Source organism: Homo sapiens, chromosome 18 (assembly GCF_000001405.40).
Source record: "Homo sapiens chromosome 18, GRCh38.p14 Primary Assembly".
Lineage (NCBI taxonomy): Eukaryota > Metazoa > Chordata > Mammalia > Primates > Hominidae > Homo > Homo sapiens.
In genome coordinates this window covers 79,700,074-79,721,297 of record NC_000018.10, presented here as the reverse complement: position 1 = coordinate 79,721,297, position 21,224 = coordinate 79,700,074, and the positions used below count along the sequence as shown (strand labels likewise).

Below are 21,224 nucleotides of genomic sequence, written 5' to 3'. Positions count from 1 at the left end.
GTCAACTGGCTGGAGAGTTGGAATTAATTAAGTCAAATAAAGAAGTAAGAGTAGCACCAAAGCACTAAGCCCTGGTGTTACAGAAAGAGACCTGTTCCCAGTCCCTGGGATCACCGCAGTGGTGAGAGTGGCTGTGGGCTGGGCCTGAGCGGCTCCAGGGTAGGAGGCTTCGCAGGAGCAAGTGGGCAGCGTGTGGGATCAGCTATGCCTTCGCCACAGATGAAAGGACGGAGAGCTTCCAGAGGGCACGTGCCATGCTCAGGGCCCTTCTGGACCCTGCCCCAGGCGCCCCCTCATTCGGCTGTTCTTGAGCCTTTAAAATAAACTGGTATTGCTGAGTGAAACGTTTTCCAGAATTTTGTGAGCCGATTCAGCAGATTATCAAAACTGCACAAGTCTGTGTGTGGGGACCCCCAACACTGTGGCCAAGCTGGACAGTGAGGTGGCCTGGGGGTCCGAGATGAGGGCAGCCTGGTGGGACTGAGCCCCTAGACTCAAGGCCTGATGACAACCGTGGGTCGTCAGCGTCAGAAACAAACTGAACTTTAGGCACCTGCTGGCCTCGAAGAGCTAGAGAAGCAGTGTTGGAAAGACACCTTGTATTAAAAACCCAACCAGCCCGCAACAGGAAGCCCTTCTAAAGACCTGAAACGACATCACCACGAGGATGCCTTAACAGGAGATGACATCGTCACCAGAACACGATGGGAAGTGACATCACCAGGACACGATGGGAGGTGACATCATCACCAGAATGCGCTAATGACGGGTGGTGACATCATCACTAGGACACGATGGGAGGTGACATCATCACGAGGACGCCCTCCTAATGACAGGAGGTGACAGCATCACCAGGACACGATGGGAGGTGACATCATCACCAGGACGCCTTCCTAATGACGGGAGGTGACAGCATCACCAGGACACAATAGGAGGTGACATCATCACCAGGACGCCCTCCTAATGACGGGAGGTGACAGCATCACCAGGACACAATAGGAGGTGACATCATCACCAGGATGCCCTCCTAATGATGGGAGGTGACATCACCAGGACACAATGGGAGGTGACAGCATCACCAGGACGCCTTCCTAACGACAGGAGATGACATCGTCACCAGGACACAACAGGTGACATCATCACCAGGACACAGTGGGAGGTGACATCATCACCAGGATGCCTTCCTAATGATGGGAGGTGACATCATCACCAGGACACGATGGGAGGTGACATCATCACCAGGACGCCTTCCTAATGGGAGGTGACAGCATCACCAGGACGCCTTCCTAACGACAGGAGATGACATCGTCACCAGGACACAATGGGAGGTGACATCATCACCAGGATGCCTTCCTAATGATGGGAGGTGACATCATCACCAGGACACGATGGGAGGTGACATCATCACCAGGACACCTTCCTAATGGGAGGTGACAGCATCACCAGGACGCCTTCCTAACAGCAGGAGATGACATCATCACCAGGACACAATGGGAGGTGACATCATCACCAGGATGCCTTCCTAATGATGGGAGGTGACAGCATCACCAGGACACGATGGGAGGTGACATCATCACCAGGACGCCTTCCTAATGGGAGGTGACATCATCACCAGGACGCTTTCCTAATGATGGGAGGTGACATCAACACCAGGACGCCTTCCTAATGGGAGGTGACATCATCACCAGGACGCCTTCCTAATGGGAAGTGACATCACCAGGACACCTTCCTAACAACTGGAGGTGACATCACCAGGATGCCTTCCTAACAACGGGAGGTGACATCATCACGAGGACACCTTCCTATCCATCAGGGATGACATCATCTCTGTGGCTGGGGATCCTCTTCCCTGTCATCAGAATGGAGGACCTCAGATTCATCCCAAACCCCCCACCCCCTAGGTCCCAGAGCGTCGCCAGGCTGCCGCACGGGAAGCCACCCGCACCGGCCCAGCTGCCCGCAGCCACCCTGCACCTGCCCACATCCCAGTCACCCGACCCGACTCCTCCTCTTAGCAACACTCTCCACCATGACCTCAAGGGCCGTGAAATCAGCCGAGAGGGGCACACGCTGCTCTCCAGAATCGTAAAAGACAAAACACAATCTATGAAACAGAAAACCGGGGAGGAACTAGAGCGCGTTTCCAGAGGGAGCGGCCTCTCCCGAAAGCCGGCTGGGCTTTGCCGCGGTGCCTGGCGGGGCCTTCTCACCTGTCCACCCAGGTTCGGGAGCTGCCACCCACTGTGCGAAGGCCACGCCCTGGCCACCCCTGCTCCTGACTTGGGAGGGCCATGCACTCCAGGCCTCAGCATCCCCACGCAGGGACAGTGCTGGATCCTGCAAAGGCTCGAAAAGGACATCAAGCCGTACCTCTCCATCTCCCCATTAACCGTGAGCACCCGTCTCCCTCTAGCAGCCTGCATTCTGTACCCGTCACAGGATCTGAGGTGTTGTGACCTGTCAGACGGCTTCCAGGGGCAAACGCACACCAGGTCTTGGTGGGTGCTCCTTGCCTGGGTCAAGTTTAATTGAGTTGAACTTTTGGTTGAATTTCAAAGCAACAACCACGGTACAAACAAAGACTCCTCACTTAAATCTCCAACAATGTCCCACAGCCATTTACATGGGGTCTCCAGGGGCCACAACCTTAGGCTGAGGGCTGATCTCGGGTCCACGCGGGCAAACAGGCACAGAGGCCACATGCTCAGGAAGCATCCCTCAGGGCCTGCAATCTCCCCACTCCAGGGCAGCACAGATCCCGGCTACCAACGCCTTCCAGTCCAATCAAGTTTCCCTTCCTCACAGTGCTGTTTACCAGCCGCCACTGCCACCAACCCCTGCATCTGCTCTGTGTGGAAACGAAGAGGGCAGCCTGGGGTTGGCAGAGCAGCAAACGTGGAGCCGGCGGAGAGCAGATGGTGAGGCGAGTGGGGAGGGGGGCTCAGAACCAGCCCGGCTCTGCTCGTTCTCTGCTGAGTGTTCCCAGGACCGAGTGCTCTGCGGGGCGGCCACAGGTGGGCACATGCGGGTGCCTGGACAACATCTGAGAAGCTGATGGTCGGGGTTTTGTTTTAGTTTTGGGACCCAAGACAGGAGAGAAAAACAAAAGGACCCAAGACTGCAAGCGGGGGCGGCGCTCCCACAAGGTGGAAGCAGGAGTCACCGTCTGCAGCCTCCACCCGCCCTCACTTCGGGCAACTGACGCCATCCCCCCAACAGACTGGAGCAGCAAGCTTGAAGAGCCCTCATTAGCTGGGGACAGTGGCTGGGCCGCCACGTACCTGAAGGAAGAGGGCTCCTGGCGGATGGGTAGGGAGCTGGAGGGTGCTGGGGGCCCCCGGGCGCCCGTCCTGATGAGCTTCCCCGTGTTGGAGTCGTAGATCCGAACCTCGGGGCCAGGCTGGGCCTTGGGAAGAACCGGCATCGGGTGGAACAAGGCGGTGGGGGGCACACCCTCCCGGTCGGGAAAGGCCGCAGGGCTGTTCTCCCTGTCGGAGGAAGAGAACGAGGGCCATGAGCGGGGCGTCCGGGTGATGAGGGGCACTGCCCAGGTGCATGAACCAACAGCTGTCCAGCAAGGGAACGCCTGGCACGGACCTGCTGGGTGCAGCGAGGACCCACCTCTGTGCCTTGGTGTGATCGTCCCTGAGCGGGAAGAGCTGCTCCTCCACCTTGTCCCAGCGCTCCAGGCAGCTCCACAGCCAGTCAGGGTTGACCACGTGCAGGTGTCCGCACTCCTGTGCCTGCAGCACCTTCTCTGTGCCTGCAGGAGACCCGGCTGCGTCAGGCTGTTCCGGCCAGCACTGGAGGCTCAGGGCCCACATCCGGCTGCACCCACCAGGGCCCTCACCTGGCTGTACCCCACCAGGGCTCAGGGCCCTCACTCGGCTGCATCCCACCAGGGCCTTCACCTGACTGCACCCCTGCAGGGCTCAGGGCCCTCACCCAGCTGTACCCCACCAGGGCCCTCACCCGGCTGCACCCCACCAAGGCCCTCACTCGGCTGCACCTCTCCAGGACTCAGGGCCTTCACCCAGCTGTACCCCACCAGGGCTCAGGGCCCTCACTCGGCTGCACCCCACCAGGGCCCCCACCCGGCTACACCCCACCAGGGCCCAGGGCCCTCACCTGGCAGTACCCACCAGGACTCAGGGCCTTCACCCAGCTGTACCCCACCAGGGCTCAGGGCCCTCACTCGGCTGCAGCCCACCAGGGCTCAGGGCCCTCACCCGGCTGTACCCACCAGGACTCAGGGCCTTTACCCAGCTGTACCCCACTAGGGCTCAGGGCCCTCACTCGGCTGCACCCCACCAGGGCCCTCACCCGGCTGCACCCCACCAGGGCTGCCCACTGCAGGTTCCCATCTGCCAGGCCAGGGATAGGCAGCCATGGTGGGAAGGGGTGGATCTCAGACGGGGAGCCGGGCACAGCGGGTGACCTGAGCAGCAGGAGGACCTCTCTTAGCATGTGTTCAGCAAAGCCTCTCAACAGTGAGGCCACGTACACAGAAGCAAAAAGGAAACGTGAGCACAATTCAGGGGGAAGGAAGGAATGCGAGAGAAGGGCCAGGAGCTTGGGCACTCACAGGACAGGGCAGGCGGGCACCTGAGGGGCCAAGGAGGACCCTGGCCTGGCCCAGCTCCATGCTCAGGAGAGAAGGGTCAGGAGCTGGGCAGACACGCGGCAGGGCAGACAGGCACCTGAGGGGCCAAGGAGGACCCCGGCCTGGCCCGGCTCCACGCTCAGGAGAGAAGGGTCTGACTGCCCACAGGAGGCCAGGGCTTGGCTTTCTCCTGGGATCAAGGGTCTCGCTGGGCTCCACGGAAAGCCCGCCTCTGCCCTGCAGCTAGCACCTGGCTATTTCACACTGAGATGGAACCTTCCATTTACCCTTGATTCAAATGCTTTACTGAGCACATGCGTGTCCAACGCCCCATGATACGTGCCAGAGCCGTGGCCTCAAATAAGACCACACCTGCTGTCAGGGAGCGTGCGTGGACAGGGATGAGCTCACCCCACAAGGCTTTCCTGAGCCCCGGAGGCGGGGCCACGCACTGAGAAGCCCTCTCAGGAAACGCCGCCAGGACAGGAAGCAGATTGGAGGAGAAAAACCGCAATCTTCATTCGCGGAAAATCCAGGTGCTTATGGGAGCATTTTCACAGAATAACTAGAATAACGAGGTATTTGGGTTTTTTAAGCACCGGGGTGTTAAGTCTTCCTTCAAGAATCACCTATTGCTGAAAGGTTGTTTTATTCGGCGGAAGTTTCAACATGTCAGAGCAGCCTGCCCCGTCCGGGACAGGTTTCACCGTCGGGAGACAGCAGGCCTGTCCTCCGCCCTCCCAGCCACAACGTGTCCTTCTGTGCACGTTTCAGCTGAAACCTTGCATTTAGTTTTCTAACTCAGAGGGTTTGTCAATCTTTTACCTGCGAACTCCTGTTCCTGCCTCGAATTTCTCCACTACGTCCCTATCGCTGATTCCCTGTTTTCCAACCCGGCCATGGCTTACTCCAGGGAGAAGGTTGAACTTTCTACACACGAGTAACTCCCACCCCTGAATGGTGTGTGCGATGACTGCGGTCTGAAAGCATGAACGTGCCCAAACTCCAATTTCACCCACTGTCATGATCTATTCTTAAAAGATGGTGATTCTGGGAAATGTTTCTGAAAATTGAAAGTGAGATAAACAGCAATGCCAACTCTAAGGAGTGCCTGCAAGGAGCCCGCGGGCCTGACCATGCCCAGGGCACAGGGAGGCAGCACTCACCAGCTCGCGCGGCGATCAGGTGCGTGGCCCTGTCAGGGGCGTCGGGGCTCAGCACCAGCCGAGTGAGGATCTTCGCTCCCAGCGCCGTGGCGTGGTAATGCTCCCGCGTCTTCTCTATCGGGAAGTTTGTCGGGTGTAGCCCACTGAAAATTATGGCCACGTCTGCCAGCACCTTGCTCTTGAGCTCCGGCACGATCTTGCGGATGTCCGGCGCCTCCTCGATCTCCTTGTTGAGGTAGCGGTCATACTTGGCATAGTAGTCAGTGTGTACACGGACCAGGATCTCCTCCAGGTAGATGAGGTGGTCATCCTCATCCGTGTCCTCCTCCTCCTCCTCCTCCATGCTCTGGTCCAGGGACTCACCCGCAGTGACCCCCGACAGCTCGCTGTTCTGTGACTCGGTCTCCGCCTCCTTCCTGTCGGCACAGCCGTTGCCCAGGCCGCAGAGGCCATCCCGCTCGCCCTCCTCCTGCCCACCCAGCTCAGGCTCCTTGTCCGGGGCATGCGCGCCAGGCTCGGCCTCTCCGGGGAGACTCGGTGCTGCAGGCCGCCCCGGCTCCAGGGAACTGCCCTGTGCCAGCGCCCCGGCTCCCTCTGGGGCAGCCTTCGGCTTCTGCCGGCCTCTTTTCCCCTCGCTTTCGCCATCAGAGGCGGAGGAGGAGGACTTCGTGCCCTCGGACTCACTGCTGCTCTCGCTGTCGCTGGATAAGTCAAAGTCCAGGTCAGTGCCCGTGGCACCCTGGGCAGGCCGCTGTCCCGGTGCCACCCGGCCACCCTGCGCACAGGATCCCTGGGGCTCAGGAGCGCCTGCCAGCTCTTGGCTGCTGGTGGGGGCCTGGGCAGGGGGCCAGATGTCCCTCTCGTCTGGCTTCCCGGGGCGGGGTGAGTCCCGCGGGGTGGCGGCCTCGCTGCCGTTCAGCTCCCGTGCAGGCTTCTCCAGGCCATTGCTGGGCTCCACTCCAGGGGCCTGCGTTACCCCCTCAGGGTCTCTCACGGGCGGAGATGGCTCTGAGACCTCAGTGCCTCGAGAATGATTTACTAAATATGCATGCAAAAGGAAAAGTTACCGCAATTTAGCATTAAACATTAAATAACGTTCCAAGTTAAAGCAGCACCCTTCTCCATGGCTGTGAAGTCCACCACCCTCTAGACCAGGCCTTGGCAACCTTGCTGTGAAGAGGCCGGACAGGGTGAGCACCCCTTACCTGAAGTGCGTGGGACCAGGGACGTTTTGGATATTGAATTTTTTTCTGAGTTTGGAGTATTTGCGTTAAACTTACCAGCTGAACATCCCCAATCCAAAAAATCCAAAATACCCTAATGAGTATTTCCTTTAAGCACCATGTGGGCACTCAAAAAGCTTTGGATTTGGGGGAGGAGGGATCCTCCACCTGTAAGGACAACTAGAGGTTTCCGGGCTGCAGACCTGGCGCCACCGTGACCGTAAGCCCCTGCAGACCTGGCGCCACCGTGGCCGTAAGCCCCTGACGACCTGGCGCCACCGTGGCCGTAAGCCCCTGCAGACCTGGCACCACCGTGGCCGTAAGCCCCTGCAGACCTGGCGCCACCGTGGCCGTAAGCCCCTGCAGACCTGGCGCCACCGTGGCCGTAAGCCCCTGCAGACCTGGCGCCACCGTGGCCGTAAGCCCCTGCAGACCTGGCGCCACCGTGACTGTAAGCCCCGGATGACCTGGCACCACCATGGCCACGGTTTCCCAAGCCACGGTCTGGAGGAAGTCAGCAACTCCACGCTGACCCCACCCATCTGGTGAAAGTCTCTACCTTCTACAGGAATGCCCCTAGTTTCACCCTCCCCTGGTCCTAACCTCCAAGTTCCATTTTAGTGACTACAGCAATAAACGTGTGCCTCAAAATATTTTTCAAAAAACTAAAGATCAAAAAACACTTAACTTTCGTAGGGTGGACGTCAGCTGCATGCCTGACTGACAAGTTAAACCACGCTGCTCTCTGGGGCCCCAGCCAGCGCCCAGCCTGACCACTGCGCATGGGGAACGGTTATTCCCCGCAGAGCCACCGCCCCCACATTCACTCTCTCTACAGAACACTATGGCCCAATACCCAGGGATGTGTTTAAGGAAAACTGGGATGAAGGGAGTTATTCGGATGTGTTAGGTTAAACAGCATCCTCTAGTTTTTATTCAACTGGGAAAACGCTTAAGTGAGGGCCATTTTTTTTAAAGCCCAAATTGAAACAACCTAATATCCTGTTTTTCAGTACTCTATAAATAAATCCAATAATCTCTACTGAAACACAAATAAAAAAAGTGTATCTTGAATTTATAGCAGTCAAAACAGAGATAAGAAATAAGAAGAGCTAAACAATAAGCAAATGTGAATTCTTCTAGAGAATCAGGAAGGAGGTTACCCACCTTTCTTTCTCGTCTGAGATTCTCGGGACCCAGGGGGCGCATTCATATCACCCGTGCCCTGGAAGTATACATATTTCTTCACAGTTATCAGATTGGGGGCAAACTTCCAGACATCTTCTCGATCATCAATAATGCAAACCATTGAGTCTCCACAAGGAAAGAGATTTCTACAAGTGAAAATGCATAATTTACAAAAAATAATAATGAAAAGTTGTAGTCATTCATCTTGCCAAGCGTAACAGTTTAAGATTCTAATCCACATGTAACCAGCAGACAGCAGGTTAATCAGACGGACACCAACCGCCCCGAAGCCCTTTCTGTTTGGGTCGCATTTAAACCTCAGTAACATCTTCAGTGCTGTTTCCGATTCTCCTTCAGGCAGGAGTTCCCAAACTGTTTCTTAAAGCGCCAGAGTCACTATTTTAGGCATTACGGGCCACGGGGACGAAACCCAACTCTGACCGTGTGGGCGTGACCATGTTTCAATAAAACTTCATGTACAAACAAGGCTGGGTAGCCTAAAGGCCAGAATTTGCTGACTCTGTAAACAGACCAGGCTAGGCGCTGTGTGGCTAATGCCTGCAATTCCAGCACTTCGGGAGGTCTTGGCAGGAGGGTCTCTTGAGCCTAGGAGTCTGACACCAGCCTGGGCAACATAGGAAGACCCTGTCTCTACAAAACATACAAAAGTTAGACAGGTGTGGGGGTGTGCGCCCGTAGTCCCGGCTACTCAGAAGGCTGAAGTGGGAGGATAGCTTGAGCCCAGGAAGTCAAGACTGTGGTGAGCTGAGACCACACTACTGCACTTAAGCCTGGGCGACCGAGCCAGACCGTCTCAAAAACAAAAAAACAAAAACCAGACCCAGTGCTGATGCAGAATTTCTAAGCGGACCTCCAGCTACCTCCATGCAAACCACAGTACCCACCACTGGGGCCTATCCTGGGCATGTCCCCATTCGATCCTATCATTCTGCCTTCGGGTGACTTTTCCCTGTAACACACTAACAGCACCTCTCATTCTCTTTTGCCCTGATTAATCTACTCACTCTGGCGCTAACTAGCAAAAAGGAGGTTTCTGAAGTAAATACTTTCAGATTCTCTTCTTAGTTAACATTAGCAAGCATAGGTCTCACAGTCTGTGGGGACTGGCCACCGAGAACCAGGAAGTGGCTGAAGCTGAGGCTGTGGCCACCAGGCTCCTCGGGAAAACAAGCCACACCTGACATGGTGTTACATCAGCAAGGACGGACTTCCGGGTGGAAATGGGGAAACTCCTCGAATACAGTGGGCAAGAAACGTCAAAGCATATAAAAGAATATTAAAAAGTCTTTGCGGAGGGGCGGGGAGCGGCCTGCCCTGTCAAAAAGGCTCAGAGGAGCTGACAGGAAGGGGCTCTGGAGCTGATGGAAAGGAAGAAATGGCAAAAGGCAAAAATATGGGCATAATAGTCAAGTGACTTAGGATTTTGTAAATTATTAGTAGGATTAACACAAGCAAGCTCCTAAGAAAATTATCAACCTCAGATGCTGACGCTGATGTCAAGAACTGCCGCTAAACCAGTGGCCCCGCAGAGCTGCTGAGCTTGTGCGTGGGGTGGGGCTATTCACATTCCTCTGCCCACTCGGGTCCTTTCGACTGCCACCTCCCTGATGCCATCCCGTCCCTACGCCTGCCCTCCTGGGTTCTGGGCCCGAAAGTCCAGTCGCTGAGTTCCCCAGGAGCCCTGGCCATTCCCTGGATACTCAGAGGCAAAAGGGCCAAATCCTTCACAGCTGGCTACTGTGGGGACACACGCCTGCCTCCTGCCTCTCCAACCACAAATCTCGATGCCAGGTCTTCGCATAGGAATGAAAATTTGGAGGTCAAGGGACTAGAATGATCACATATGCCAGGGTTGGTTAAGCAAACAGATACACAACGTCAGGTGGCGGGCTGACATCGAATCAGTGCCGTCTGACAGAGATGAGGCAGAGAGGATGACAGATACACAACGTCAGGTGGCGGGCTGACATCGAATTGTGCTGTCTAACAGAGACGAGGCAGAGAGGATGACAGTCCCCGCCTCCACAGACACAAAAGCCCAGCTCAAGGGCAGTTTCAGGGCAGGACAGGGCTATTGGGATGGGGCAGAGCCTGGATTGGGGGCCCTGCACAAGCACCAGGGCTCAGGCACCTGGGAGACAGTGGGAGTACAGGTTAGAAAGGAACTTTCTAAGTATTCTGAGGCTAACAATGAAAACTGGAAAGGGGATGTTAAATTCCTAAAAAACATCAATACAGAAATACTGCTCTAGGCCGGGTGCAGTGGCTCATGCCTGTAATCCCAACACTTTGGGAGGCTGAGGCGGGAAGATCACGAGGTCAGGAGATCGAGGCCATCCTGGCTAACACAGTGAAACCACCGTCTGTACTAAAAATACAAAAAAAAAAAAAAAAAAAAAAAAAAAAAAAATTGCCGGGCGAGGTGGTGGGTGCCTGTAGTCCTAGCTACTCAGGAGGCTGAGGCAGGAGAATGGCGTGAACTCTGGAAGCAGAGCTTGCAGTGAGCCGAGATCGCGCCACTGCACTCTAGCCTGGGCAACAGCAAGACTCCGTCTCAAAAAAAAAGAAAAAAAGAAATACTGCTCTAAATTTCAAGATGCGATTTTTGAAATGGGAAATGAACAGCGAGGTCTTTGTGAGGAGCGCGGCTGGGTACATACCTAAGGTTTCCCGTTTTAGAAAATGGGTCAATACATTCATCCCTTGATAATATTCGGTGAGAAAAAAGCTTCTTCTCGGGGTCTAAAAAGCCTTGGAAAAGAAAACAGGACAAAGATTACATACCTGAGACACGTTTCGGTCACACGGCACATGGTGAAGCCTTGAATGTTTTTTTTAAAGTGGCAGACACACAACATGATGAACTGGCACCAAACACTTCATCCCTTTTGAGGTAAGACGTGGCTCGTGTGGGGCTTCTTTTCTCTTATGGTGAACTTATTTCTCAAACACAAACCATGTTGATAAGTGTTTATAATTCTACTAACATGAAAAATTTGTAATATCTTACTGAAGTGCCTATCTAAACCAGATGGATATGAAAATTATGGAAGGCACTTGCATAAGTAAAACAGGTAAGTCATCATTTGATCTCAAAACACTCTGCATGTGGTTCTTCACGTGATGGAGTCTGGACACTAAGCTGAAATTACTCTGCGTCACCTCGGATATGATCTTTCCTAACCCCAGGCGGGTGGCCCACTGCTCTCATCTGTAATGGTTAGTGGAGGAAAGGTTATCAAGGAAGTTTGCTTCTCCCAAGTTACTTTAGTAGAATTATACAAACTCACACTCTGTGTTGTAGAAATACACAGAAAGGCCGGTTATTTCTAACTATTATACACGTTTTAATAATGGTAATTTAGGCAACATCGAGGAAGCCTGCCTGACAGAGGAGACTGGGAAGGAAGGACATCCGGGACACCACCTTGACCAGCTAGTGCAGAAGGTGCTTCCACAGCGAAGAATCCGCTTAGGCTACATTTGACACTTGCACTTCACATGACATCCGTTAATTACAAGTCTAGTTTAACTTTTTAACAGTAATTTTCTAAAGAGCTTCACATGCTTGATGCTCAGCTTCGACTCCTTAAAGATAGTAAAACCAAGCTATCTGCAAACATCCCTTCTACACTTCAGGAAGCACCACTGTGAAAATCAACAAATCAGGCAGAGGTTTCTTGGGATCACCTCTGCTCTGGGTTTCTTGATCTATAAATTTATCTTCTGAACTTTAAGCCTACTGTGTTATCTTCCTAAGTTTGCAAAGTCTTCAATTTACAGTAAAGTGCTCATATTTTTAAATAAAGATAATTTAAAAATAAGTTATCTCTTGTTAGTTTACAAGAACCACAGAGTATATAGGAAACATATTTCAGTTTGTAGAAGTAGGGGTACTAAACAAAAACAAAACAACCTTTCAGGTAATTTATTCCATTGGTAAAATATGTTGGAGGCATCAAGTTCAATGTCAATTTAATTTCACCAGCCATTTAAAACATTCTGGAGAGAAAAAGCTACGGTTAATTATGAAGCCTCAAAAAGAAATGTTTCAGCTACTCATCATACAAGTGGCTGAAGCCATAAATCTGCACATACCTCAAGAGATAGGTATTCCATGGCACCCACATAACGTGTTTAAGGGTATTCGATCATTTAACATTTACTGAGTTTAACATTACTTGGAATTTTGCTAGGAATATAAGGTGCGGGAATGAATACAACATAATTATTACTCTCCCAAGAGGCTGAAATTGTAAGAAAATTGAACACATTAACACACAACCTCTATCTGGCCTGACACGTGCAGGTGCCGTGGAACAAAACGGGGACTGGATTGCACAAGAGTGAGCCGGTCCAGAGTCGGGAGCTGGGACTGTGGTCTTGTCATGGCACGCAGGTCCCCTGCATAACCGTTAGTTATGCATGAAGCAAAGGAGGTAGATGAGACATCTCAAAAGCACTGTGAACCCAAAGTCCAACCACGCAGCCCACATTCTCTCAAGACTTAAGTCTCACTGGAACGCCTGGCTCCACGCCTCTGCATGGCACACGGGGTCCACTTCCGGATCCGAATGCACCCCGGAACGCCTGGCTCCACGTCCCCACGTGGCACACGGGGTCCACTTCCGGATCTGAACGTGCCCTGACTGCACTCCACATAATCACTATTGTTTTCACGCTGGCTTTTAATCAACTACTCCCTGCACCCATCCCTACTGGGCTCAACCTCTGCACCACCACCTCTGAGATCACAAATGCGAGAAACACATTTGCTGTTTTTGATACAGGTTAAAACATACACATTACAATTAAAACAGAAGAGCTGCTCTGTGCACCACCTCAGTTACCCTGCAGCCCCACGGCACTATGCACAATGCACTGTGGGATCCGTAAGATCTTCTGGGAAGATGAACCTGCTTCCTGGCTGAAGCATCACCACCTCCAGACGTTTCAAATGCAGTACTGCCAGGAGCTTTCCGTTCCCTGATACCACTGGTTTGTTAGTATTTCATTAACCAAAAGATACTTGGGCTTAAAGGAGAAATAAATGCGATTGTTTCTCACTATGCGTAAATTCCAGATGATCACTGAGGCCATGAAGTCGCTAGATCTAAAGTCTGTTAATAGAATTATTAGCGTCTCTACTATCAGATAAAAGACACGCATCGCAAACTCTTAACATCTCTGTCCTAGTCATACTGAAAGCACGCATGCTATCAACACGGTCACTTTCAAAATGAAAAGCATCAAAAGCAGATGCTCGGCGACCACCTCAGGCTTCAGTCCGGACCTCACTTTCTCACTTGTAGAAAAGCTGACCCAGGTCATCTCTACAGATCCCGCCAGCCACAATGAAGCAAAGCTCGGCCTTCCTGAACCACAGCCTGGACACAGTCTTCCTCCTGCGTTGCTGGGCTCGAGGGCCCATGTTCTGTTGAGAATTTCTGCATCCATGTTCAAAGGGATACTGGTCTGCAGTTTTCTTGTGATGTCTTCGTCTGGTTTTGGCCGACATCCCTTGGACACGTTGGAATGCTGGAACTTTAGCATAGAAAGCAGAGCTTGAAACGGAGAAGGCACCAGACGGCCCGGTGACGCTCAACAAACCTAGCTGGTCTCACTGCAGGAGGACCCGCGCTCGAGGCTCTCCGCAGCCAAGCGCCCACCAGCAGGCTCCCTGCTCTGCTGTCTAAGCGGCTCAGAGGCCTGCGGATGTCTGCATGGATGCTCTGCTGAATCTGCGAGCAGCTCCCAGGCTCCCTCCAGCTTTCAGGCTGATAAAGAAACATGGCGTTCTCGTCACCTGCTTCATCTCTCACCACACGAGGCCTCATGAACGTGGAATCAGACTGTGGTGACCCATACCCTGCCTGCTGGTGTGACGGGTGGCAAGGGTGTAGCCCGGCTAAAACCTGGGACCCTCTGCTTTTAGCCCAAACCCCTCCAGCCAAGCATTTAAACAGATCCGAGCCTTCCACATGCTCCTCCTCACTGGGGCTTGTGTGCTCTGACCAGCAAACATCGATGCACCTCAGGAAAGGATAAGCAAGACGTGTGAAACAGCGAACCTAAAGAAGCCCAGCTTCAGAGAGAGACCTGGAGAAGGAAATCCGAAATGAGAAACACTTGCACGGGCACCAGATCAACGTATGGAAGACGGGACAGGAGGAGAAGAAACATCACTGGCATCCTGGACTCAGACGTGCAGGTCACCGGGCTGTGCCCGCTGGTGTGCGCCTTGTGTGGGAGGCGGGAGGCAAACCCGTCACCCTCCCAGGGAGCAGGCCATGCGGCGTGCAGTCCTCACAGTCCTGGGGGTCAGGAACCACTCCCTCACCGAACAATCCTGGTTTTAGGAACTCACCCAGAGGATCCAGTCCACAGAGGAGGGAAAAAAATCTTACATAAAATGATGAAGATTTATAACAACGTGATGGATAAATTCTTAGTGATGAAATCTTATGTGAAAAGAACGGTATGTAAACTTGTACATATATTAAGACAAACTAGGCAAAATTATACATACAAAAAAAAAACCAGAGAATAGGGGACAGCCATGGATATGATGAGCGTGAGGAATAATTTTCTGGTTTTTAGTCTTTCCCTGACATTTGTTATTGTGAGAGTGATGCCCCGCTCAGTTGTCTGGTTTGAGTGGGCGTCACTGTCCCTGCGGTTTGTGTGACTTATGGGTTGTCCTCTGGGAGGTGCCTGGCACTGGCTGCAACGGCACAATCTGGGGCTGGAACACATGGGGATTTGGGGGTCTATTTCCACACAGTGGGCAGCTTAGTCGGCCTGGGCTGCTCTAAAGAAACTCCATAGTGTGGGTGACTCAGGAACACACGTCCCTTCCTCACAGTTCTGGAGGCCGGCGTCCGACCACGGCGCCAGCAACTTGGCTGCAGGTCAGTGGGCGCCGGCTTGCTGCATTTCCCGCAGCTCCCAGGGCCCACCTGGGTAAGGGCCCTGATTCCATTCACGAGGATGGAGTCCACAGGACCTCACCACCTCCCACGCCCCTCCTAACACCCTCGCCCTGGGACTGGGTTTTAACACATGGACTTGGGGGCTGTAAAACCCTCAGATCATAGCAGGCATTATTTCTTCACTGGCCCGAGGAAGTGAGCAATATCACCCTTGTGCATAATTACTCGTCTTCACATCATCTGTCTCAGGCAGCTATGCAGCAGCAGCCATAATGTTACAGGTGAATATTTCAAATTTCAATTACAAGAGGAATTAAAGGTCATGATCACAATTTCCTATAAAGGCACTAAATATTAAAGGAGGATTCAAAATTCATTTCCCCAACAACAACAAAAGACTAAGACCAATCTAGAAAGACCTTTGAATTTTAAAATGCTCAGTCTAACAACCTCTGGAGCCAGTACGGAGGAGCTTGCCTACACTGCCACTCGGCGCCTACATCCATGTGGGACAGACGGTCGCCGTCCCGTGGCAGCCCCCTCGCTTTGTCCACGTGGGACAGACGGTCGCCGTCCCGCACTGTCCCCTTGCTTCGTCCACGTGGGACAGACGTTGCTTCGTCCACGTGGAACAGACGGTCGCTGTCCCACTTTGTCCCCTCGCTTTGTCCATGAAGGACAGACGGTCACCATCCTGTGGCGTCCCCTCACTGCATCCACATGGGACAGTCACCGTCCCGTGGCACTGTCCCCTCGATTCGTCCTGCTGGTGCTGCCTCCCAGAGGGCACCGTAGCCTGGCATTCACGCTATCACCCAGGGAGACAGAAGCAAACGCTAAACCCTAAGGGTACCCATGTGTAGGCAGGGGACAATCATGCTGTGTGCAGTGACAGCACCCAGCAAGAGCACACACAAGCAGCCCGGCCCAAAGTCCCTGTGAACTGATTTAAGAAGGTATCTGTCGGAGGACGCTCGCAGAAGTTTCCACGTGCCCATGTGGTCCTGACAAACTCCCAAAGCGGCCCACCCAGTACCGCACCCGGCCAGAGCAGCCGCGGCCCCACCCAACAGCCCTGGTGGCAGAATTCCCTTACCTCTCACAACCCCCTGCACAACGGCCAACCCTAAGACTACAACTGAGTTGCAGGAGAGCTTCTTTTCTTTCTTCATCTTTAAGAAACCATCACCGAAAACAGGAAAGAAACCCACTGTTCACACGGCCTCTTCGGCTGCGGCTTGACTGACCTGCGATGGTGTGTGCGTACAGCCGGCTGCCGAAGGTGAAGACGTGCAGCTCGTACAGCTTGGCGATCTTCTCCAGGAAGTCCTTGCAGTGTGGACGCAGGCGCGTGTGCAGCATGGGCTCACCCCGGCCCAGCTGGAAGTGAAAGATGCCCTAAAAAGAATAGTAGCAACAGTCGGGAGAAAAGGCCTGAGGAGCCCCGGCCGCCCCCGCAACCTGTGTGCCCGAGACAGGCATCCTGAGAACACACGTGTGCCCCAGACAAGCGTTCTGAAGACACGCGTGTGCCCGACAGGCGTCCTGAAGACACACGGGTGCCTGAGACAGGCGTCCTGAAGACACACATGTGCCCATCCCTCCACATGGGACAGAGGATACACGTTTGCATGTACACGCCCCTCCACACGGGACAGAGGACACATGTGAGCATGTACACGCCCCTCCACACGGGACAGAGGACACGTGTGCGTGTACACGCCCCTCCACACGGGACAGAGGACATGCGTGTGTACACGCCCCTCCACGTGGGCATGGGACAGAGGACATGCGTGTGGACACACCACTCCACGTGGGACAGAGGATGCGTTTGCACCCGCCCCTCCACATGGGACAGGGGATAGGAGTGTGCACACACCTCTCCACGTGGGACAGAGGACGCATGTCCGCCTGACCCTCCAAATAAGGACGTGACCCTAACTGGTGCAAGGGGCTACCCGTGGCATTTAAAACCCACTGTGTAAGTAGTTTCCATGCACGCGGTACGAGTGAGTGAGTGCGGCCTTCTCTGCTGCGGGAATGCCCTCAGTGAGTGTGAATACTGACTGCCCGTGGTAACTAGGATAACCACCTACCTGCAACAACTGTTCAAGATAACCACCCTGGGTACCACGTTAACAGTAACAGCCTACGGTAACTACATGATAACCACCGATGACAGCTACACTAACTACTCACAATAGCTACCTGCCTGCAACGACCCGCCTAGGATAACCACCCCCGATAACCAGCCAAGAGTAACAGCCTGTGATAACTACACGATAACCATCCCCAATAACCACGCCAACAGTCACCACCTATGATAACTACATAACCACCGATGATAGCTACACTAACTACTCCTGGTAACTACCTACCTGCAACGACCGCCTAGGACATAACCACCCCTGATAACCACGCCAACAGTAACAACCTACACTAACTATGAGCTAACCACTGATGTCACTTCTGCCTTTGTTTCCTCGCTGATACGTGTTACACAGCAAGGCCACCGCAGCTGCTCGGAACAGACCTCCACCAACATCACGTGCTGACAGTGTTTTCCTGAGCTACTGAATAAAGGAAATCAACATTCCCGGGTAACCTGGTATAACGCATGGGTGATTTTCAGACAGTTTCTTTCATCTACATATACAACATAAAAGCTGAAAGTATTCTAAGTCATATTTAGTAGACAGTGAAATGAGCAACACCGACTCGCTTACATATGATCGACATGCAAATGAGTCTGCTTTCCTTAGGAAGCTAAACTTCGATCCTTTAAATCCTGTTATTTTCTCAGTAAAATATTTACTCTTAATGGCTTTAAAAAAAGGTAGATGACTTAAGCTCAGTTACATTTTTCTAGTTCTAAGTTAGTTACGACCCTCATGAAGAAGCTACTCTGTTCAAGGTTTAGGAGTGAGAAGTTCTAGTAACAACTTTCCCAGTTACATTTTTCTAGCTCTAAGTTAGTCACGACCGTCATGAAGAAGCTACTCTGTCAAATATTTAGGAGTGAGAAGTTCTAGTAACAACTTTCCCATTACTCAACAGTAAAAAGTCCAGCAGCTGTCCAGGCTTCGGGAGCTGTGGCCAGCACCACTTCTGATCCCTGAAATTGCTTTCAGAGGGGCCAGCAGTAGGGCCAGGCACCAGCCTCAGGGTCTCCTCTGGATGTCAAGTGGGGCACACTACTGCTACTGAGGAGGCAGAGGACAGACCGTTCATGCTTAGACCCCCCTCCCCACTACATCAGGACACTGTCACCTTCCAGACCACACAACTGAGAAACAGCCACATTATAACTAGACTCCACTGTCTTCAGCAGGCCTATCCTGGAGATACTGAGAATCACATGAATTTTTTGGTTTCCCAGTGAATATAATCCATGCTGACACTCTACTGCAGCTTATTAAACATTCAATAGCATTATATCTAAAAGAACAATGTACCTAACTTAATTTAAAAATACTTTATTATTAAAAATCACCGGGCGTGGTGGCTCAATGCCTATAATCCCAACACTTTGGGAGGCCGAGGCGGGAGGATCACTTGAGGTCAGGAGTTCGAGACCAGCCTGGCCAATATGGCACAACCCCGTCTCTACTAAAAATATAAAAATTAACTGGGTGTGGTGGTACACGCCTGTAGTCCCAGCTACTCGGGAGGCTGAGGCACAAGAATGGCTTGAACCCGGGAGGTGGAGGTTGCAGGATAGAGAGATCGTGTCACTGCACTCCAGCCTGGGCAACCCAGCAAGACTCCGTCTCAAAAAATTAAAAAATAAAAAATAAAAAATAATTTTATGATTAAAAAATGCTAACAACCATCTGAACCTTCAGCAAGTCATAGTCTTTCTGTCGGCGCAGGGTCTCACCTTGATGCTGATGGCTGCTGACTGATCAGAGGGGTGTTTACTGAAGGCTGGGGGTGGCTGTGATGATTTCTTGAAATAAGATGACAATGAAGTTTGTCCCATCAATCAACTCTTCCTTTCACAAAAGGTTTCTCTGTAGCATGCAATGCTGTTTGACAGCGTTTTACCCACAGAAGAACTGCTTTCAAAACTAGGAGCAATCCTCGTAGACCCTGCCGCTGGTTTACCAACTAAGTTGATGGAATCTTCCAAATCCTTTTTGGTCATTTCAACAACATTCGCAGCATCTTCTCCAGGAGCAGATTCCATTTCAAGAAACTACTTTCTTTGCTCATCCGTAAGAAGCAACTCCTCATCTGTTCGAGTTTCATCCTGAAGTTGCCGCAGTTCAGTCATCTTCAGGCTCCACTCCTAATTCTCTCGCTATTTCCACCACACCTGCAGCTCCTTCCTCCGCTGGGGTCTCGAAGCCCTGGAAGTCATCCATGAAGGTCAGAATCAACATCTTCCGAACTGAGGGTTGGAATCGACATCTTCCCAACTCCTGGTTGATGCAGATACTCTGACCTCTTCCCATGAATCACAAATGTTCCTGGTGGCACTTGCAATGTCACAATGGTGAATCCTTTCCAGAAGGATTTTCTGTTTGATTTTCCCAGATTCATCAGAATTGCTCTCTAAGGCAGCTCCAGCCTTAGGAGATGTAGCTCTTTTATTTATTTATTTATTTATTTATTTATTTATTTATTTATTTAATTTATTTATTATTTTTTTTGAGATGGAGTCTTGCTCTGTCACCCAGGCTGGAGTGCAGTGGTGCGATCGTGGCTCACTGCAAGCTCCGCCTCCCGGGTTCACGCCATTCTCCTGCCTCAGCCTCCCGAGTAGCTGGGACTACAGGCACCCGCCACCACACCCGGCTAATTTTTTGTATTTTTAGTAGAGACAGGGTTTCACCGCATTAGCCAGGATGGTCTTGATCTCCTGACCTCGTGATCCACCCGCCTTGTCCTCCCAAAGTGCTGGAATTATAGGTGTGAGCCACCGCGCCTGGCCAGGAGATGTAGTTCTTAAATAATAAGACTTGAAGCTGGAAATCATTTCTTGAGCCCTGGGCTGCAGGGTGGATGTGGTGTCAGCAGCATGAAAACAACATTCCTCTCCTGTACGTCTCCATCAGAGCTCTTGGGTGACCAGGTGCATGGTCAATGAGCAGGAATATTTCTTAGAAGAATCTCTCTTTCTGAGTAACAGGTCTCAAGAGCGGGCTTAGAATGGTCAGTAAACCATGCTGTGAACAGAGGTGCTGTCATCCAGCCTTTGTTGTTCCATGGATGGAGCACAGGCAGAGGAGATTTAGCATCATTCTTAAGGGCCCTGGGATTTTCAGAATGGCAAATGAGCACTGGCTTCAACTTAAAGTCACCAGCTGCATTAGTTAGTCTCCAACGAGAGAGTCAGCCTGTCCTTTGAAGCCAGACACTGACTTCTCCTCTCCAGCTATGAAAGTCCTAGACGGCATCTTCTTCCAACAGAAGGCTGTTTTGTCTGCACTGAAAATCTGTTGTTTAGCGTGTTTAGTTTCATCAGTGATCTCAGCCTATCTCCAGGGGAACTTGCCGCAGTTTCTCCAACAGCACCTGCTGCTTCACCTTCACTTTTGTGTTACGGAGACGGCTTCTTCCTTCACCCTCATGAACCAACCTGTGCTGGTTTCCAGCTTTTCTTCTGCAGCTTCCTCACCCCTCTCAACCTTCACAGAATTGAAGACAGTTGGGGCCTTGCTCTGGATTAGGCTTTGGCTTAAGGGAATGTTGTGACTGGTTTGATCTTCTACTCAGACCACTAAAACTTTCTCTTTCTCAGCAATAAGGCTGTTTCACTGTCTCATCATCTGTGTGTTCACTGAAGTAGTATTTTTAGTTTGCTTCAAGAACTTTTCCTTTGCATTCACACCTTGGCTGTTTAGTGCAAGAGGACCAGCTTGCAGCCTTTCCTGGCTTCTGGCGTGCATTCCTCACTAAGCATAATCACGTCTACCTTTTGATTTAAAGTGAGAGACTGGTGAGCCTTCCTCCCACTTGAACACTCAGAGGTCACTGTAGGGTTACTACGCTGGCCTAATTTCAATACTGTTATGTCTCAGGGAATAGGGAGGCCTGAGCACCGGGACAGAGACAGGGAATGGCCAGTTGGTGGAGCAGTCAGGAC

The 21,224-nt window shown here is 52.2% G+C and overlaps 1 protein-coding gene across 13 annotated transcripts in view, besides 1 other annotated feature; it reads right to left on the bottom strand.

Annotated features, from left to right (window-relative positions):
* Positions 1-21,224, bottom strand: part of CTDP1 (CTD phosphatase subunit 1) — a 79,858-nt gene that overhangs the window by 35,328 nt on the left and 23,306 nt on the right. For all 13 annotated transcript variants that reach the window (XM_047437924.1, XM_047437922.1, XM_047437926.1 and 10 more), the window contains 6 exons: positions 16,381-16,531; positions 10,862-10,952; positions 8,160-8,326; positions 5,770-6,807; positions 3,622-3,763; positions 3,282-3,488 (listed from right to left, as the gene is read on the bottom strand). In XM_047437924.1, coding sequence (XP_047293880.1) covers positions 3,282-3,488; positions 3,622-3,763; positions 5,770-6,807; positions 8,160-8,326; positions 10,862-10,952; positions 16,381-16,531 — 1,796 coding nt within the window. The remainder of the gene's footprint in view (positions 1-3,281; positions 3,489-3,621; positions 3,764-5,769; positions 6,808-8,159; positions 8,327-10,861; positions 10,953-16,380; positions 16,532-21,224) is intronic.
* Positions 9,919-10,111: a silencer, noted in NCBI's record as "fragment chr18:77471187-77471379 (GRCh37/hg19 assembly coordinates)". NCBI's record gives its function as "represses an EF-1alpha promoter that drives an FKBP-Casp9 reporter gene in an ReSE screen in K562 erythroleukemia cells {active_cell/tissue: K562}" and the evidence as "EXISTENCE:reporter gene assay evidence [ECO:0000049][PMID:32094911]".